The following is an 8,503-nucleotide window of genomic DNA, read 5'->3' as shown; positions in this document are numbered from 1 at the left end:
CAACAAAGTGAGATTCTGTCTCAAAACAAAAAACAAAACAAAAAACAAAAAACAAAAAATACCCCCACGAAAACAAAAAGTAGTTAAGAGGGTATGTCTCATGGGTTTTCTTACCACAATAATTTATTAAGGTCATGAAAGCCGATATCATTGTCTAGTTCATAGCCTTAGGGGAAAAGCTTTGAGTTTTTCAGCATTGAGTATGGTGTTAGCTGTGGGTTTCTCATCTATGTCTTATGTTAAGGGAGTTTTCGGCCATTCCTTGTTTTTATCAAAAATGAGTTGAATTTTGTCAAAGCTTTTTCTCTACCATGTGCTTTTCTCTCCTTCATTCTATTAATGTGGTGTATTACTTTGACTGATTTTCCTATGTTGAACGATCCTTCCACTCTGAGAAAAAATTCCATGTGCTCCTGGTATATAATCCATTCATTATGGTATAAGGTTTGCTAGTATTTCGTTGATTTTTGCATTAATATTGATAAAGGATACTGTAGTTTTATGTTCTTGTAGAGTCTTTGTCTCTTTTGGCATCAGGGTAAGGAGGGCCTTATATAATGAGTTAGGAAGTGTTTTCTCCTCTTTGATTTTTTTTCCTTTTTTAAAAAAAACTAGAGATGGGTTTTGCCGTGTTGCCCAGGCTGGTCTCCAACTCCTGGGCTCAAGCGATCTGCCCGCCTCAGCCTCCCAAAATGCTGGGATTACAGGCGCCAGCCACCATGCCTGGCTTAATTTTTGTATTTTTAGAAGGGTCGGGGTTTCACCATGTTCACCAGGCTGGTCTCAAACACCTGACCTCAGGTGATCCACCTGCCTCAGCCTCCCGAAGTGCTGGGATAAGAGCCAGGAGCCACCACGCCCAGCCAGTATTGTTCTAGCAGCCTGCACTGACTCTGGCCGACTCTTGCAGAAGACACTGGTTAGAGAGGACAGTCAGGAGGGGCAACATCAGGCTTCAAGCTGTGTGAAAGGGGAAGTTTTGCTCAGCAGCAAGTTCTCTCTGGATTAAGAGTTTTGTGATTGGCAGCCACAGTGAACTAGAGAGACGCGTCTGCCAGGGAGAGCCTGCACCTCCCACAAGGTGTCGTCTGTGCTGGCTTCTGGAGCCTTTGACCACTGCTTTCCATCTGGGATTCTGTGTTCACAGGGGGAACAAAAGGCCTGAGAAACACCACGTACGTGACTTGGTCTTCATGGTCTCTTCTCTCCTGTAATTGTAGGTGGCCTCAGGAAAGGAGTCTGTATTCTGCAATCACTGACTTGCTGCTGAAAAATCCAGATGAAAAGAAAGGCGGGGCTTTCCTGCTGGCTTCAGTCTGGAGATCTGACTCCAGCTTCCTGCTGGCCACCAGGCAGGGGTGGTGGAAGGAGCGGTTTTTGCAGGTAAAGAACCGTGGCCTCATCGTACAGTCCCTGGAGCAGCCATGTCCCTCTAGGTGGGTGGGTTTTTGTGCATGGGGCTCTGGGGGGTCTGCGTGGGTGTCGTGTGGTGTGACTGTGAATGTGTGTGGGAGTGTGTCTCCTCAGGGGATGTGTCCCACCTACACAGCACAGGTGCCTCATCTACATTCTCCAAGGGAACCCCACCGCCGCTGTGGGCTTTCCACACATTGACGCATTCATGGCTCACCACAGCCTTGCCCACGGGCTTTCCAGCCCCACGCCTCGGAAAATGAGGTACAGAGAATGACCCAGGCTCCTGAGCTTCTCTGTGAGAGAGCTGCAGGGTGAGTGGTGGGGGGCGGGGCATGTGGAAGCTCAAGACTACTGGGTGGCATTCATCACTCAGCGGCAGGCTCACTGGTCGCAGTGCAGGGGTGACCCACCCCCATGTATATGCCTGGAAGTACCTGGGCATACGGAGTTCCAAGACACCACTCATGGTTAAAAGGCGGCCCCCGTGCTCACATAGCTGATGTCATCTCTCTGTGTACATACCACAGATTTTTGCCCAGCCATTAGCCTAAAATGTCCAAGTCATGGAAACAGAGTAGAAGGGTGGTGTCGGAGAATGAAAAAGATGGGGAAGACGGTGAAAGGGCACAAAGTTTCAGTGATGCGATGAGTACGTTCTGGAGACCTGACACGCAGCATGGTGACCGTAGTTCATAGTGATTAATTGCACGCTCGAGATCTATGAGAAAGTGCACCTCGAATATCCTCACCACACACACAAATGGCAACAATGTGAAGCGATGGATACGTTCATTAGCTTGATGGTGGTCATTTCATAGTTTGCATATATCAAAACTTCACATTGTACACTTTATATATACACATTTTAAAATTTTTCAATTATGCCTCAATAAAGCCAGGAAAAAATCCTCAGAAATACTCAAATTCTGTGAGCTACCCATGGACACTGATGAATTAGAACCAGCAGGACCCCTGGTGGTCAGTGAGGCCTGTCAGCCTCGTTGAAGCTCCCTGGTGCAGCAGAGTTAGAGCATCAGCTCCCGGCCCACACCTCCCTCTATGAGGAGCCGCCCTTCCTGCCTGTGTGAGCAGGAGCGCCTCTGACCAAGGAGCACAGACGTGGGATAGAAATGCAAGCCTGCGAGCAGACCTACCACATGGGAAACAGCGGGTATTTTTAAGTGACCTGACGTTGTATTTTCAAAATATCTGTAACTGATTATCTTTAAGAAATAGGCTTAGTGAATAAATATAATACAATATTTTGTATAGACCCAGGCTCCCAAAGTAAGATTGCTTTTCGTCAATCACAAAACCTTATGTGACAAAGGAGAAATGCACCGGCGGCATATGTAGGTCCCTGGAGGCTGAGGTGGTCTAGGGAGAGGTCAGGGAGATAGTGGCAATTCAGCGGCAAGTTCAACGTGGCGGGAGAGGTGAGGGACGCTCTTGTTGCATCACAGTGTAGAGTTGGGCACAGGGGAGACTGAGCATTTCCTGTCGATTTTTTTTTTTTTGAGGTGGAGTCTCGCTCTGTCGCCCAGGCTGGAGTGCAGTGGCGCGATCTCAGCTCACTGCAAGCTTCGCCTCCCGGGTTCACACCATTCTCCTGCCTCAGCCTCCCTAGTACCTGGGACTACAGGCACCCGCCACCACGCCCGGCTAATTTTTTGTATTTTTAGTAGAGACGGGGTTTCACCGTGTTAGCCAGGATGGTCTCGATCTCCTGACCTCGTGATCTGCCCGCCTCGGTCTCCCAAAGTGCTGGGATTACAGGCTTGAGCCACCATGCCTGGCCCATTTCCTGTTGGTTTAGGTGGCCTCTAGCTCCACAGCTGAGGACTCTGAACCTCATCCCAGTCCTGCTCCTCTTTTCCAAGCCTCTCCCACCCAGGAGGATGGCCCAGCAGCAGCTGAGCCCATGCGGCAAACCTACCACACCTGTGCACGCCAGTGCTGCGTCCATCTCAAGCTAGGGCCCCGAGTCATCCATAAGCAACACTGCCAATACACTGCCAGCCAGACACTCTGTCCTCCTGGCCTCCCTGAGAGGCTGCTGGAGGAAGAGTCACAGTAAGGAAAGATTGCCTGTTTTTGTCCAAAATAGACATGATGCTTTGTTGTTTTATTTCATTTCAAATTGGTTCATGTATGAAAATCTGGCAATATACGTAATGTGATACATACCGTTTCCGGACAAGACAGTGTCAAACATGAATGGCAGCCTCAGCTTATAAACAAACTGTCTGGGAGAGGGCCTGTCCTCAGCACCTGTACTTCTTTCTCCTGGGGCTAAGAATTTTTCAATTGCCAGCTGGGCTTGGTGGCTCATGCCTGCAATCCCAGCACTTTGGGAGGCCGAGGTGGGCGGATCATGAGGTCAGAAGATCCAGACCATCCTGGCTAACACGGTGAAACCCTGTCTCTACTAAAAATACAAAAAATTAGCCAGGCGTGGTGGCAGGTGCCTGTAGTCCCAGCTACTCGGGAGGCTGAGGCAGGAGAATGGCGTGAACCCAGGAGGCGGAGCTTGCAGTGAGCCAAGATCACGCCATTGCACTCCAGCGTGGGCAAGAGAGTGAGACTCCATCTCAAAAACAAACAAACAAAACAAAACAAAACACTGGGATGGCAATCATGTGTCAGAATGTTCACAGTGATTATTCTTTGCTGATGGAATTAAGGTGGCTTTATGTATTCACACGAGTTTGTATTTTCCACATTTCATACAATGACTATGTATGACTTTAATAACTAGAGAAAAATGTAGAGGCTGGGTGCAGTGGCTCATGCCCGTAATCCCAACACTTTGGGAGGCCGATGCAGGTGGATCACGAGGTCAGGAGTTCGAGAACAGCCTGGCTAACATGGTGAAACCCCCGTCTCTACCAAAAATACAAAAATTAGCTGGGCGTGGTGGTGGGTGCCTGTAGTCCCAGCTACTTGGGAGGCTGACGCAGGAGAGTTGCTTGAACCCAGGAGGTGGAGGTTGCAGTGAGCTGAGATCATGCCACTGCACTCCAGCCTGGGCAACAGCGTGATACTCTATCTCAAAAAAAAAGAAAAGAAAAGAAAAAATAAAAAAATATAAGGACTCCAGATAATTCATAGATCAGCTTCATTCTGCCCAAAGTGCACTGGCATTAATGTACTATAAAGTACAAAGCAGGCCGGGCACGGTGGCTCATGCCTGTAATCCCAGCACTTTGAGAGGCTGAGGTGGGTGGATCACCTGAAGTCAGGAGTTTGAGACTAGCCTGGCCAACATGATGAAACCCCATCTCTACTAAAAATACAAAAATTAGCCAGTTGTGGTGGCGGGCACCCGTAGTCCCAGCTACCCAGGGGGCTGAGGTGGGAGAATCACTTGAACCCTGGAGACAGAGGTTGCAGTGAGCCGAGATTGCACCACTGCACTCTAGCCTGGGCAACAGAGTAAGACTGTGTTTTAAAAATATATATATATAATATATAGTTACTTTATGCAGCCTCATTATAGCAAACTAATCTTAAAAAAAAGTCATATATCAGAAAGCAGTAACTTTTAATCTCCATTAAGAATGGCAGGGTGGAACTCTTGGTCCTGCCTCTGATAACTGGGCAGTTGTGTGGATGGCTCAGCCAGAGCCTACTCCATTTCTCTGTCTCCCTCTGCCCATCCCTATCTCTGTCTCTCTCTGTGTCACTCTGTCTCCTCTGAGTCTCTCTCTGCCTGTACACATGTGTGCCTATGGGTCTCTCACACATGCTCACCTGCTCAAGCTCCTCATCTTCAAATGCTCCATCACAAAGGCGGCCACACCTCTCGGCAAATCGATGACCTTCATGGGCCTCGGCGCCTGCACCAGGCCCGTGCTCTGGAGGGCCTCCAGGCTCGCCACCTCCCCCTCAAACATCTGCTGGGCCTGCATCCAGAACACAGCCATGAGCCTTGTCAGCCTTGTTGACTCAGCCAGGGCCTCTGCCCACCGGGCTCTTCACAGAAGCTACCACGTGGAAATCACAAGGACCTTCAGTCACTGATAGCCTCTGGGAACTGGCGTCCACCCGCAGAGGGCAGGGTGCAAGAGATATGCCCTTTATTGGGTGTGAACTCATCATAAAGTTCACCCACTGGAAAAGTATACAATTTGATGCTTTATTAGATTGATACTGTGTGCAAGTTCTCTCTTGCCCACTGGCAGTTAATCCCCCCTCCCATCTCTAGCCCTAAGCAACACTGCTATGATATTCCATCTCCATAAATTTCCTCCTTCTTTAATAGAAATGAACACATATATATATTTGGAATCTGACTTCCTTCATTTAGCATACTATGTTTGAAGTTAATCAACACTTTAGCACATGCCGGTCATGTGTTTTCCTTCATAGTCTGCTGTGTTTATTCATACAGAGAGTGTTTATTCATTTATCAGTTAATGGACAGTTAATTATTTTTTTCTGTGATGAGTAATGTAGCTTTGAGCATTCATACACAGTCATGTAATGCATAATGACATTTGGTCATTATTATTATTTTTATTTTTGAGACCCAGTCTGGAGTGCAGTGGCACAATCTCGGCTCACTGGAACCTCCGCCTCCTAGGTTTAAGCAATTCTCGTGCCTCAACCTTCCGAGTAGCTGGGACAACAGGCACACACCACCACACCCGGATAATTTTTGTATTTTCAGTAGAGACAGGGTTTTGCTGTGTTGGCCAGGCTAATCTCAAATTCCTAGGTTCGGGTGATTCACCCACCTCTGCCTCCCAAAGTGCTGGGATTATAGGTGTGAGCCACTGTTCCAAGTCTAATTTTTTTTTTTTTTTTTTTGAGACGGAGTCTTGCTCATTGCCCAGGCCGGAGTGCAGTGGCGCGATCTTGGCTCACTGCAAGCTCCGCCTCCTGGGTTCACGCCATTCTCCTGCCTCAGCCTCCCGAGTAGCTGGGACTACAGGCGCCCGCCACTGTGCCTGGCTAATTTTTTGTATTTTTAGTAGAGATGGGGGTTTCACCGTGTTAGCCAGGATGGTCTCGATCTCCTGACCTCGTGATCCGCCCGCCTCAGCCTCCCAAAGTGCTGGGATTACAGGTGTGAGCCACCGCGCCCAGCCACCTGGTCTAATTTTTTTTAAGAAATAAGAGAACTATTTTCTAAATTTCCTTTGCCAATTTATATTCCAACCATGATGCATAGCACTAATTTCACTGTACAACGTATGGTAGGCCCCAACATGTAAGAAATGATGAAAGTAACATGTAAAGATTACCATAAAACAAATAAGATTATCATTGTTCCTATCATCTTTGTCAAATTGTCAAAACAATCTAAAAGTATATTTTTATGTAAATGTGCTTGGCAGCATAGCTAAAAAAAGCATTAGTTACATACTTTTGTCAGTAACAAAGTCAGAAATTTTAAGGGGAAAAACACTTGTACTCTCAACACAATATCAGAATTAGCATAAAAATTCTGCTGGTCACGTTGGACTATTTAGTTGTCTGGGGCAGTGTTTTGTAGACAAATGAGCATCTGTGGAGCACCTGAAGTAGGGGATCAACAGAACTTGGGTTTCAAAAGTTATCTGGGTTTACAGTGTGAAACTTTGTTGGAGGACACACACCTTGTGTGAGCGAGGTGCCTCGGTGTGTGTGGATGTGTTGGAGGTAGAGCATAATGGTGGCTTCCTCCAGAAAGGGACATTTGGGGTGGATTCATTCCATCTGGACAACACAGCCTGATGTGGCACGGACATGAATGGAGGTGAAATGGACAGTAGCTGAGAGGATCAGTCCTGACAAGAGCCAAGGTGAAAAGCCTGGGAACCCCTTAAGGTGCAAAGTCTTCAGCTGAAAAAGAAGGTGGTCACAGGAAATACTGAGATGGATCAGCAACGCACGGGAGGGAGAGTTCTTGGCCCTGTGGAGTGAGTAGTGTGGATTCTCAAGTTTTCTCCTCTTTCCATTAATTTCTCTTCCAAGGCAGACGACTTCGATCATAAACTACCAAGATACCTGGAGCGATCAGATGAGCCTCGGCCTACTCTTGAAGCTAAAGGAAGGCTGCTAGCAAGACTGGCATCTGGGCTTGGCTGTGCGTGTTTTCCATTGTGGGAAAATATACATAACACAATATTTGTAATTTGAACCTTTTAACCAAAGTGTGCACGCAGTGGCATTGAATATATTCACTTACACTTAAGGCACAATGACAAGGCAGCAAAGGGCTGTTGGGTGATTAGTTCACCACACTTGTTGCAACTGTTTGTACTGCAGAGTTAAAACATACCAGCATTCAACCCATGTCTCCTCTCTTGAAATAAACTGTCCCCTTTGCAAGGGACCTAAATCTCCATTTACAGAACTTACTGACTATTTGCCTCTTGCAGCGGAAGTCCCTGGATGTCAGCCTTCTGGTGGGAATTATAAGAAGCATGAGCCCCAGGGCTCCTTTAATCTCTCCCCAGCCAGAGTCCACATATTTTCCCCCATGTTTTTTGGGTGAAAAGGCCTTTCAGAACCCTAAATCCGTCTGGTTTATAATTGTTGCTGGGCTGCGTCATTCTAGTCAGAATCTGGGAGGATGCCACCATACGTAGAGGAGGCCATGAGGGTTTCACCTCTAACATTCTGTAGATATGGCCTGTTTATATTGTCTAATGTGAGCACCTGATTCTGAGTAGAAAGAACAGTGCCATTGGGTTAGTGGAATGCACATTTGGTGACAGAGGGAAGGAGGCCCTGGGTGGTCCTCAGGAAGGATCCTGGGCTGGGGGTCTCCAGGCTGCAGCTATCGACATACCGTGTAAGAGGAGATGGACTCTGCCCCTGTCTTTTCAGAAGTCTAGGGGAGGGAGGAGGAGTTTGTAGAGACTGATTCTTGGTAAGGAAGGATGTGAGCAGGAAGGTGCAGGCTCTGTGCTGGAGCAGTCACTGCCCCTTCTCAGCCAGGCCTGAGCCCAGGCTGCTCGGACAGCTGCTTAGCTCTTCAGTCCATGAGACCCTGGGAGCTTGTGGGCTTCACTCACCAAACCCCCCGAGCATCAGCCCAGCAGGCATCCTCCCTAGTTAATTCACCTGCCCTGCTCATAACAGTTTGTGAGTTTTG

The 8,503-nt window shown here is 47.8% G+C and overlaps 1 long non-coding RNA gene across 1 annotated transcript; it reads left to right on the top strand.

Moving 5' to 3' along the window:
• The first annotated feature begins 928 nt into the window (after positions 1–928).
• On the top strand, positions 929–7,750 carry LOC105372962 (uncharacterized). The gene is made up of 3 exons (XR_938084.3): positions 929–1,081; positions 1,221–1,383; positions 7,378–7,750. It is a non-coding gene; the product is annotated as an uncharacterized LOC105372962 (long non-coding RNA).
• Positions 7,751–8,503: the final 753 nt, after the last annotated feature.

This window comes from Homo sapiens, chromosome 22 (genome assembly GCF_000001405.40).
Source record: "Homo sapiens chromosome 22, GRCh38.p14 Primary Assembly".
Lineage (NCBI taxonomy): Eukaryota > Metazoa > Chordata > Mammalia > Primates > Hominidae > Homo > Homo sapiens.
Note: the sequence above shows the minus strand (reverse complement) of the source record. Positions and strands in the feature narration are given on the sequence as shown.